The 11,605-nt window shown below is 45.5% G+C and overlaps 1 protein-coding gene across 2 annotated transcripts, besides 1 other annotated feature; it reads left to right on the top strand.

Moving 5' to 3' along the window:
* Window positions 1–1,150: 1,150 nt before the first annotated feature.
* SERPINA11 (serpin family A member 11) lies at window positions 1,151–11,487 on the top strand. 2 transcript variants are annotated; one of them, NM_001429948.1, is made up of 5 exons: window positions 1,151–1,222; window positions 5,691–5,819; window positions 7,347–7,620; window positions 10,726–10,873; window positions 11,142–11,487. In NM_001429948.1, exons 2-5 carry the CDS (start codon window positions 5,789–5,791, stop codon window positions 11,343–11,345), a joined length of 657 nt encoding a protein of 218 aa, NP_001416877.1. In that variant the 5' UTR covers window positions 1,151–1,222; window positions 5,691–5,788; the 3' UTR covers window positions 11,346–11,487. The 2 variants fall into 2 exon arrangements, with proteins under 2 accessions (NP_001416877.1, NP_001073920.1); NM_001080451.2 differs by having other exon boundaries at window positions 5,174–5,819.
* Window positions 2,197–2,873: an enhancer, noted in NCBI's record as "NANOG-H3K27ac-H3K4me1 hESC enhancer chr14:94917415-94918091 (GRCh37/hg19 assembly coordinates)". NCBI's record gives its function as "activates a minimal SCP1, AML or CMV promoter by ChIP-STARR-seq in primed H9 embryonic stem cells {active_cell/tissue: H9 hESC(primed)}" and the evidence as "EXISTENCE:reporter gene assay evidence [ECO:0000049][PMID:30033119]".
* Window positions 11,488–11,605: the final 118 nt, after the last annotated feature.

The raw sequence follows: 11,605 nt of genomic DNA, 5'->3' as shown, positions 1-11,605 counted from the left end.
CAAAGGACTAATATCCAGAGATATTCCAACAAATTAGCAAGAAAAAACAAACAATCCCATCAAAAAGTGGGCTAAAGATATGAATAGACAGTTCTCAAAAGAAAACATACAAATGGCCAACAAATATAAGAAAAAATGCTCAACATTACTAATGATCAGGGAAATGCAAATCAAAACCACAGTGTGATATCACCTTACTCCTGCAAGAATGGCCATAATCAAAAAATAATAGACGTTGGCGTGGATGTGGTGAAAAGGGAACATTTCTGCACTGCTGGTGGGAATGTAAACTAGTACAACCCCTATGGAAAACGGTGTGCAGATTCCTTAAAGAACTAAAAGTAGAACTACCATTTCATCCAGCAATCCCAGTACTGGGTATCTACCCAGAGGAAAGAAGTCATTGTATGAAAAAGATACTTGCACACACATGTTTACAGCAGCACAATTTGCAGTTGCAAGATTGTGGAACCAACCCAAATACCCATCAATCAATGAGTGGATAAAAAAACTGTGGTGTATATATATATATGATGGAATACTACTCAGCCATAAAAAGGAACGAATTAATTGCATTCACATCAGCCTGGGTGGACCTTGAGACTATTATTCTAAGTGAAGTAACTCAGGAATGGAAAACCAAACATCGTATGTTCTCACTCATAAGTGGAGCTAAGCTATGAGGATGGGAAGACATGAGAATGATACAATGGACTTCGGGGACTCGAGAGAAAGAGTGGGAGCGGGGTAAGGGATGAAAGACTACATATTGGGTTCAGTGTATACTGCTTGGGTGATGAGTGCATCAAAATCTTGCAAATTACCACTAAGGAACTTACTCATGTAACCAAATACCACCTGTTCCCCCAAAACCTATGGAAATAAAAAAGTTAGAAAAAAAAAGAATACAGCCTGGATCATACAACCACAGACACAGGCAACAGCCACAACCACACCACCACCTGCTGCCAGCATCAGAATATTCTCAAAGCGAGCCTGGGCTTAAGTCACAATCCACCATTTGTTTGTGGGACAGGCAGTCAGGGCAGATACTTTGAAAAAAAAGAGCCCTTCCTGTTTGCTGTGCATTGTCTTCATACCAGTTCCCAGAATTGACCTGACAAATATTGACCAGGTTGCTGTCATCTTCAAACACCATTTTCCTGTGGGTAGAGGTGATGCAGTGCTGAAGACCTGGGCCCCTGCTCAGTGCCTTTGCTCTGTAAGTACTTTGCCTGTGCCCAAAATGAGGGCAGGGGCAGAAACTGCCTCACTCCCTTCTCTCTCTCTCTCTCTGTCTCTGTGTGTGTGTGTGTGTGTGTGTGTGTGTGTGTGTGTGTGTGTGTGTGTGTTCCTGGCTTTGATGGTAAGGATGGGAGAAGTAAGTCCCTGAAGAAGAAATGCAACCATGTACTCCCTCTGAGTCTTAAAGGAGAGACTTCAGGTTTTCAATCTCCTTTTATGGAAAACTTCAAGAATTTTGAGAGAAGAATCCCAAATATTCCTGCCAGTTAGACAAGAAAATGAAACAATACAACCCAAAGCACAATGACAATGATGCTGCAGCAAATTTACTAGAAGCTGTCCTGTGAAAAGGGTGCTTAGGAGCTCTGGTCTGGAATCTGAGTCTTGCTCCTGCTCTCACCAGGCGGCTTGTCCTAACCCTGCATCAGTCATTCCCTGTGTACAGTAGGGCTAATAATCCCTGTGCTTTGAGGTTCTCATAAGGATTAAATTAAATAAGACAAAGCAAGTGTTTCTCAACAAGGGCACTACCGGTATTTGGGCAGGACCACTCTTCATTGAATGTGACTATTCTGGGTGCTTCAAGAGCTTTCGGGAGCCCAGCTGTTCCCCAACTAAACTCCAGCAGCATCCCTCCACCAGGCATTGAGCTGATCCAAAATGTCACCTCTATCTCCTTTACACACAGCCCTCCCCCTGCCTTTGTCAGGAGCCAGTGTTACAATGCATGTAATATCCTATCACTTCATAAACCCTTAATAAGTGAGAATATTATACTTCACGAATATAGTTCTTAATTTTCCTCTGGGATCTTTCTGGAAGAGGAATTAAGAAATGAATTGGGCATCATTACCCCAGGCTTGATAGAAAGGGAAAAAAACTGCCATTGAGTACTTTCGGCATGCCTGGAGCTTTGTACTTTGACTGTCATATAATCCCGAAATGGCCCCACACCCAGGAGGTGGGCAATATCATTTGCATTTTGCAAAGGGAGACACTGAGTTTCAGACAGCTGCTTTTGCACAGTATGAGGCAGTGAGTTACTGCACAGCCTTGATTCCAAGGTCCCCTCATTTACAATTGAATCCCCTTTGGGAAATAGGTCATTTGCAAGTCAGGGAGTCCCTGGGGTGCAGTGGAGTAGAAAATGGTGCTGAGTTCAATGGGATAAAAAGAATAAACCAGAAATAGTTTCATTACAGGCACTTCATTTTACCCAGGGGTAGAACAATTTTTAAATTGATTTGCATCTTCCAAATTTTCGATCAAAAGAAAATCTGAAGTGTATGGAAGCTGTCATTAAGTGAACCCACATTGGGAGTTCACTGGGGCTGTCATTAAGTGAACCCACACTGTGCTGGAGAAAGGGAGGACGTAGCCTTGGGGGCGTGCCCACAGTACTTTGACCAGCAAACGCATTTCAACATAGCAGATAATGAGACCACATTCGTCCCTCCTGACACCTGGCCTTTGTCGTTTGGCAGGCTACTTAGGGCACCAGGGGCTACAAACCCATTTGCAAAAATATAATCTCTCTTTCACTGTCGCAGCATTTGCAATTGATCCAGAAGTCATTGGTTTAGGCAAAAAATTATTAAAGGTGCCAGTTAAGACACAAATGTTATCAGGACAAACTGATGAGGAGTGATAGAGGTGGTCAGCAGTGCACAGCTGCTGCGCAATGAATGGAACGGTGGAAGAGTTGGATTTGAAGGGAGAAGAGAAGGCTGCCTTCCTTACTGAGAAAATCAAGATTTGGGAGGGTCCCAGTAGCAATGTGGTCATGAGTCTTCTGCAAGAACCTGAAGATGGGTGTAGGGTCGGGGGATGGGACTGAAAGGGAAAGGAGAGCATGGAACATTGGGCAGGGTGAGTAGAGACAACCCTGTTTGCACTGCAGTTCCCCCTCCAGCTCAGGCTGCATTCCCAGCCCTAAAACAAGGGGTCTTCCTGCTCCTGTACCACTTTGATCCCTGGAAGTGGAATAAAGGCTCTTCTGGCACATTTTGTAACTTAAAATAAAGCACAAGAGATATCACATTAGTTTGCAAGGGCTATCTTAATAAATACTACATGCCAGGCAGCTTAAACAACAGAAATTTTTGACTCACAGTTCTGGAGGTTAGAAGTCCAAGATCAAGGGGTTGACAGGGTTGGTGCCTTCTGAGGCTGTGAAGGAGAATCTGCTCCAGGCTCCTTTCCTAGCTTTGCCTCTCTCCTAGTTTGCTGGCCATCTTTCGCTTTCCTCGGCTTGTAGAAGCATCACCCTGATCTCTGCCTTCATCTTCACATGGCATTCTCCCTGTGTGTTGTCTGTGTCCAAATTGCTCCTTCTTGTAAGGACATCAGTCATATTGGATTAGGAGCCTGCTCTAATGACCTCATCTTAACTGATTACATCTCCAATGACCCTATTTCCAAACAAGATCATATCTGGAGATACTAGGTGTCTAGACTTCAGCATATGAATTTCGGGCAGGTACAATTCAGCACGTAACAGACATCATCCCCACAGCCCTGAGGCAATAAAAAAAATAGAGAGGTTTCAGCCTCTGCTTGTGACAAGAGGCATCCCAGATATCAGAGGCTGGACAGAGACATGGAGACAGAGTTGCTCTCTCTCATCGCTCCTCTAGGCTCCATCAGTCCTGCTACTTTGCTCCCCACTCCTGGGCTGTCTTCATCCACACATCCAGATGGCCGATCCTCACATCGCCACTCCAGCTAATGAACGACTGGAAAGGGGGAGGGCACTCTTCTTTCTCTTGGGGCCTGACCGAGGCTTTGCACATCATCCTTTCCTTTCCAATGGGCAGGATCATAGTCAATAGCCATGCTGGATGTGAGGGAGGCCTAATATCACTGGCAGTGTGGCCAGGACATTTGCTCCAAGCATGTTCTTCTCAATTTGTCATCACATATATAGCTATTGAGTGTCACCTAAGCTAGTGTCAATTAAACCCTTAACTCTAGGAAATCTGAAATTTTGTTTACTTCTTTCCCCACTAAATACTGAGGACCTAGCTACCTCTTGGACCAGGCAGATACTTGAAAGTTAATGAATGATTGAAAGAATGACTGGAGAGAAGAAAGAAAAGGGAAGGAAGGAAGAAGGAGGGAAGGAAGGAAGGAAGGAAGGAAAGAAAGAAAGAAAGAGAAAGAGAAAGAAAGAAAGAAAAAGAAAGAAAGAAAGAAAAAGAAAGAGAAAGAAAGACAGACAGACAGAAAGAAAGAAAGAAAGAAAGAAAGAAAGAAAGAAAGAAAGAAAGAAAGAAAGAAAGAAAGAAAGAAAGAAAGAATAGAAAGAAAGAAAGAGGGAGGGAGGCTAGACTATGGAAGTTGTTTTGCTGTTGTGGTGGTGGTTGTTTTTAAAACAGGTTCTCACTCTGTCATCCAGGCTGGAGTGCAGTGGTACAATCACAGCTCACTGCAGCCTAGACCCCCCAGGCCCAAGCGATTCTCCCACCTCAGCGACTACAGGAACATGCCACCACACCCAGCTAATTTTTAAAAACATTTTGTAGAGGGGGTCTCCCTATGTTGCCCAGCCTGGTCTCAAACTCCTGGGCTCAAGCGATCCTCCCACCTCAGCCTCCCAAACTGCTGAGATTATAGGTGTGAGCCAACATGCCTGGCCAGGAGTTGCCATTGTTGTTGTTGTTATTGCTATTGTTTTATAGTCCAGAGACTTTTACTCAACAAAATGTTAGAAACCTACTATATGTAAAGCAGATAAAGGGTTGCTACCTTCACTGAAGCCTCGGAGGAAAGTGTCCAGAATCCTAATCATCCACAGCCTTGTCTTCTTCAGTGCCCCTCATGGCAGCCCTGTGGGGCACATTGTGAAGGTGGGATTTGTGGTATGAGCAATAGAGAATCATGACATTATTTATGGAGAAAAGTGACATGTTCACCCTCTTGTTTTCAGAGAATGGGTCCAGCTTGGCTTTGGCTACTGGGAACAGGGATCCTGGCCTCTGTCCACTGTCAGCCCCTTCTTGCCCATGGAGATAAAAGTCTGCAGGGGCCTCAACCCCCCAGGCATCAGCTCTCAGAGCCAGCCCCCGCCTACCACAGAATCACACCCACCATTACCAATTTTGCTTTGCGTTTGTATAAAGAGCTGGCAGCAGACGCCCCCGGAAACATCTTCTTCTCGCCAGTGAGCATCTCCACCACCCTGGCCCTGCTCTCTCTTGGGGCCCAAGCTAACACCTCAGCTCTGATCCTGGAGGGCCTGGGATTCAACCTCACAGAAACCCCTGAAGCCGACATCCACCAGGGCTTCCGGAGCCTCCTCCACACCCTTGCCCTGCCCAGCCCCAAACTCGAACTAAAAGTAGGAAACTCCCTGTTCCTAGACAAGCGACTAAAGCCTCGGCAGCACTATTTGGACAGCATCAAGGAGCTTTATGGAGCTTTTGCTTTTTCTGCCAACTTCACAGATTCTGTTACAACTGGGAGGCAGATTAATGACTATTTGAGAAGGCAAACATACGGGCAAGTCGTGGACTGCCTCCCGGAGTTCAGCCAGGACACGTTCATGGTTCTTGCCAATTACATCTTCTTCAAAGGTGAGGCTTGCTCTGACAGAATTATTGCCACTGCCTCTGCAAGTAAATGCTCTTACAGCAGAGAGCCAGCTAATAGGTTCTTTGCTAACCACTTGGGGAAATCTATGAATAAGATAGAGCTTTCCCACCCTTGCGTAGCCACAGTCCATGTGGGTTGGAAATAAGTGCAGAAAATAACTCAGTGGGATGGTGATGCTGTCCTTGCATAGGCATTGGGTGCCACAGAGTTCCCAAAAGAGACACCCATCCAGACTTGAGAAGCTTCCTGGTAAAACAGCCACCCAAGCTAAGACATGAGAGTGAGTAGTATCCACTCAGGTGAAGAAGCTTGGGAGAGGTGGGGCAAAGAGGGTTCAGGTTGAAAAAAACTAGCATATCTAAAGGTCCAGGGAAAAGAGATATCATTGCATTTTCAAAGAACTGAAACAAATTTAGTTGGGATAGAACATCAAACACAATAGCAGAATAATAGGAAGAAACCAAGAGTTGCAATGCAGAGGGAAACAAGGCCAGGTTGAGGGCTCCCAGCTTTATTCAGGGAACCTTAGAATTGCCGAAGACTTTTAAATGTGAAGTGACAGGATTACATATGTTTTAGGAAGCTCAAACTGGCTACAATTTGGAAGGTGGTTTGGAAGGGAGAAAGGGTGAGAGAGGAGAGACAAGTTGGGAGGTTTTCATAGTGGTCCAAAGTAAGTAGCACGGTGGCCTTGAATAAAGTTGTGGTTTTGGAGGTAGAATCAGCAATACTTGGTCATTGATTGGGTGTGGGTATGTAGGACAGGATGACCCAGTTCTCCTGTTATCAAGACCAGAGTGCTTGCAAGAGGTGTTTGTGGGGACAGATTTATAAGAAGTAAGAGAGAAGATACTACATGTGTGAATGTAACCATGACCCCAAAATTCTGCGTTTCTAACTACATCTTAATGGGCTTTTGCCTAATGCATGACATTTTATTAATTGAATTCTTTTTCCTTTTTCAGTTTGAAGATTAGGGAGTTGGAGTGGGTGAGTGAAGGAAGGAGCTCTTGAGCGTCTCTGTAGAAGGTTGTTGTCTAGAGGCAGTTTGGTTGAGAAGGATTAATTCAGTGTTTGCAAGCAATCTGAGCTGCTCAGTCAGTCATCCCAGCTCTGCAAATTAGTATGTTTAAATAAATTCACAAAGACTCAGTTTGATCATCCCTGATATGGGAATAATACTTATTTCTTATTAATTTTTATGACAATTTAAAGAGATAATGTCTAACACATGGAAGGTGCTTAGTAGATGGAAAAATACCTTTTGGCTTGTTAGAAGCTAAGTTCCTCTGAAATGGAACAAAATCGTAGGCTGTTAGTGCTCAAACACTGGTGACTTGTCCTAGAGACTGAGCCAGGCCTAAATTCTGGTCTCCTGGCTCTGTAACCATTCCACATTTTTTGCCACATACTTGCATAGCCAAGAGGAACTGTGGTTTTGTGTGTGTCTACCCAGAGTTGCTCTCTTGAAAAGAGTTCTCATGGCCTTATGGGTTTTGTGTCCTAAGCCAAGTGGAAGCACCCTTTCAGTCGCTACCAGACCCAGAAGCAGGAAAGTTTCTTTGTGGATGAGAGGACTTCTCTCCAGGTCCCCATGATGCACCAAAAGGAAATGCACAGATTCCTCTATGACCAGGATTTGGCTTGCACCGTCCTCCAGATAGAATACAGAGGAAATGCCTTGGCGCTGCTGGTCCTCCCTGACCCGGGGAAAATGAAGCAGGTGGAGGCTGCTCTGCAGCCACAGACCCTGAGAAAATGGGGCCAATTGCTCCTGCCCAGGTAAGTGTCACAGCAGAAGGATGCTGGCTGACCTTGCTCAAGAACCCCAGCAGGTCTTGATCAACTCCAGCTGCAAAAGCCCAACATCCATCTCGATTAGGCTCACCATCTTGTCCTTTACTAACTGTGTGATCTTGGCAATTTTCTCACCTTTTTTGGGCCTCTACTGTAAAACTAAGAACATGATACCTGCCTCATTGGGTTGCTCAGTAGATTCATTGAGTTTCTACCCATAGAGAATGTAGAACTTAGACTGGTACGTGGAGCATAAGAAGTGCTCACCAGGCATTGACTGTTATTATACTTTCCTGGTGTCTGTCTGATCCCCATCTCCTTTCCTCTTGCTTTCCTCTCTCCCCACCACACCCTCCCATAACAATTCACTAACAGAAGGAACAGAAGGTGGTTAAGTACAGCAAAAAAAATCAGATCAGAGACAGTGAAAAATAATCATGGCTGGGTGCAGCAGCTCAGACCTACAATCCCAGTGCTTTGGGAGGCCAAGGTGAGAGGATTACTTGAGGCCAGGAGTTTGAGACTAGCTTGGGCAACATAGCAAGACCCTGCCTCTATGCAAAATGAAAAAAAAACATATATAGCTGGACATGTTGATGCATGCCTATAGTCCCAACTACATGGGAGGATGAGGAAAGAGGATCACCTGAGCCCAGGAATTTGAGGTTACAGTGAGCTATGATTGTGCCACTGCACTCCAGTCTGGGCAACAAAGCTAGATCCTATCTCTAATAAAAAATTATTATTATCATTATATTGTTAAAGGGTGCTTCTATTTTAATTAAAACATGTTTAAAAAATTAAATATTAAGAACATTGTAAACATTAAAGTTCCTGTTTTATGTGATCTCTAAACTATTTCCCATCTCACTTGCTTTATGGTTTGTAGTTTTATCACAGCAACTTCAGCTTTTTCTAGTTTCCCTAGACCCCCTTCACCAGCTAATACCTTCTTGGGGGTGCATCTTCTTTTATGGGGTACTCTGAGATGAAATCTGGTACTTAGTTCTACTTACTGCTTGCTGCATAACAAGCCACCCCAAAACCGAATGACTTAAGACAATCACTTCCTTGGTTCTATGGGTTAACTGGGCTCAGCTGGGCAGTTTTCATGTGTTGGAGTAGGTGGCAGCTGGAGCTGAAGCCACTGAACTCTCTTCACTTATGTGTCTGGTGCCTGTGCTGGGCTGGCTGGAAGAGATTAAGGCTGGCAGGCATCTCTCTCTGCATGTAGTGTCTCCATGAGGCTAGCTCAGGTTCAGCAGATCAGCATAGTTAATACTGGTATATGGCAGCTAGGGTCTCCAAGACAGAATATTTCAAAGGCAGGAAATGAAAGCTACCAGTCTGGTAAGGCCTAGGCCCGGAAATCAGCACAGTGGCACTTCTGCCACATTGTATTGGTGGCAGAGCCAATGGGTGGTTGGAGAGCCAATGGCTGGGTGGTGCAGAGCCCACCCAGATTCAAGGGGAGGGTGCATAGATGCCACCTTTTGACGGTCATCTTGAATCCACCACAACCTGGGAGGCACTAGCCACCCCACATATCCAAAAGTGACTTCTCTCAGCACCCCATTCACACTGAGGTACCAGGGATAGAGAAGGCATTTTGTGTTTGGGCAGAGATTAAAACACCAAATAAGAGGCACGGGCCAAGGGGAGAGGCCAGGATTTAAGAGATTATTCCTGTTGTCCATGAAGCTCCACGGCTCTAGTCAGTTGCTAATTTCAGCCCCATAGTCCCTGGCTCCTTTGGGGTGAGTCTTCTCCTTGCCCCCATCACAGAAGGGAGTGCCATAGACTCTTCTAGACCAGTAGATTTTCCCTCAGGGAGGGTTTGGTTTGACTTCTTCCCACTTTGACATTCTAAAAGCAAAACTGACCCAAGTTACTCCTCTAAATCTCAGATATTCCTTGTGCCAGAGAGTTACAATATCTTAGTATCCATTTTTAGGGGCTTTTAGATATAAGAACTTCAGACTCTGCCATGTTTCACTCCATTCAGATGTGAGGCAGGTTAGCTTGCCAAGGGGAACTGCACTTCCTGGCACACCATTCGTGTATGTATTCATTCACAGTTGTTAAACATCCACTGTGTTTTGGGCTCTCTGTCAGACCCCTGCCCCACTAGACTCTATTCCACCCCCCAGCCAACTGGCGCGGGTCTTGCTTCCCACCCAAGTGCTGCCTATGGGAAACTTGTCAAATAGCCCTAGATGTCCTCCTACTTCAATTAGGCATCCAGACCCTCATATTGCCCAGGAGTCAAACCAGCCACGATTCTCTAACCTGAATTCGATTTTCTGAGGCAGAAGTGTTCAAGTTGGTTATGAACTAGTCATGCTTTCAGGTGCCTGGGTAGCTGTCAAACCATAATTATAAAGAAGAATAACCCCAGAGAGAAAGGGCAGATTTGCTGTGGATCCAAAGAAATTTCTGAACTTAACCCAGGGAAATGTGGCAATCAGATGGTAAAGATGCTCCAAACGCAGAAGCAGGAGTTCATTTGTGCCCTATGCCCAACACACATGATCTCCCATCAGATCCTCACAACAGCCCCAAGGAGGGGGCATCACCATGCCATTTAACACTAGAGGAACCTGAAGTGGAGATGGGTGAGAGACAATGGCTGCTTGTATTAGGGGATGCCAGGAGGTGGATTTAGGACCTAGTTCAGAAGCTGAGCCAACAGAACTTGCTGATGCATCAGATACGGAAGTGGGAAGATGTTGACAGTATTTACCTTATGTGGTCATGATTTGGATTCCATCAGTTCAGCCTTGAAAAAACATAGCCAATATCTGACACCTAGAAAGCCCTCTATAAATGTGATGAAGATGACAAAGACAGGTAGCTGTGCCTGGAGTCCTCTCAGATCCAGCCACAAGATATTCCAGGAGGTCCAAAGAGAAGGGAGCTGTGGGTATGGGTAGTGGCATGGTCCGCCATAGTGAACAGTGTCATGGGAAGACTGGTTGCTTCTCACGCTGGGAAATGCCTCTCTCCCATGGCTCAGGCTGCCGACAGACAGAGCAGGAGTGGCACATATTAACAAGAGAGCACCATTTCTCTGTCTGTTTCTCTCTCCAGTCTGTTGGATTTGCACTTGCCAAGGTTTTCAATTTCTGGAACATATAACCTGGAAGACATACTTCCCCAAATTGGTCTCACCAACATACTCAACTTAGAAGCTGACTTCTCAGGAGTCACTGGGCAGCTCAACAAAACCATCTCCAAGGTAAAGTGGTGAACATGGATGTTTGTGGGCAGGTGGGGGTAGGTAGGAGGTTTCTCCTTTGGCATGTGGGACATTTAAAAGTCAAGTTCCTTGTTCTTTGTCCTGTGCAGACTATTTAATACCACAGTCTTTAAGGCATCTCTTCATGGGCTTTTCCTTCTCTACCTCCCCTTCCTTAGGTCCCTTCTATTCTTCATGGCAGGAATACAGTGTCTTCCCCTTGAAGGCCCCCAAACTGATGCTGTCTTCATCTCCTCTTGTCCTCTAGGTGTCACACAAGGCGATGGTGGACATGAGTGAGAAGGGGACCGAGGCCGGGGCTGCTTCAGGCCTCCTCTCCCAGCCCCCATCTCTGAACACCATGTCAGACCCACATGCCCACTTCAACAGGCCTTTCCTCTTGCTCCTTTGGGAGGTCACCACCCAGAGCTTACTCTTCCTGGGAAAAGTTGTCAACCCAGTTGCAGGGTAACCATGGTGGGAGGCCAGGAGTTATCTTATCTCATCCTGGACCAAACAGATAGGCCAGAACCAGCCTGCATCCTGGGGCTGCTATGTGGTTCAGTTAATCAGTGTGCCAAGATTCTAATAAAGTTGACCTTGGGTTCTGTGAACACTAAGGAGCAATCCTTACAAGGGAGGAACAGCTTCTAGCCACTCATTCACAATTGTCCCATATCTGGTGTTAGTTGTGCTTAGAAAGTTGAAGATGAGAACGACCCTCATGTTACA

The sequence above is a fragment of the Homo sapiens genome, chromosome 14 (genome assembly GCF_000001405.40).
Source record: "Homo sapiens chromosome 14, GRCh38.p14 Primary Assembly".
Classification (NCBI taxonomy): Eukaryota; Metazoa; Chordata; class Mammalia; order Primates; family Hominidae; genus Homo; species Homo sapiens.
This window is presented reverse-complemented; position numbering and strand designations above follow the sequence as displayed.

Excerpts from the sequence above, each read along its gene's own strand:
- SERPINA11 (NM_001080451.2), top strand. The coding sequence starts at position 5,177 with ATGGGTCCAGCTTGGCTTTGGCTACTGGGAACAGGGATCCTGGCCTCT. Across the intron at positions 5,820-7,346 it reads CAATTACATCTTCTTCAAAG|CCAAGTGGAAGCACCCTTTC; the intron begins GTGAGGCTTGCT and ends TTGTGTCCTAAG. Across the intron at positions 10,874-11,141 it reads TCAACAAAACCATCTCCAAG|GTGTCACACAAGGCGATGGT; the intron begins GTAAAGTGGTGA and ends CTTGTCCTCTAG.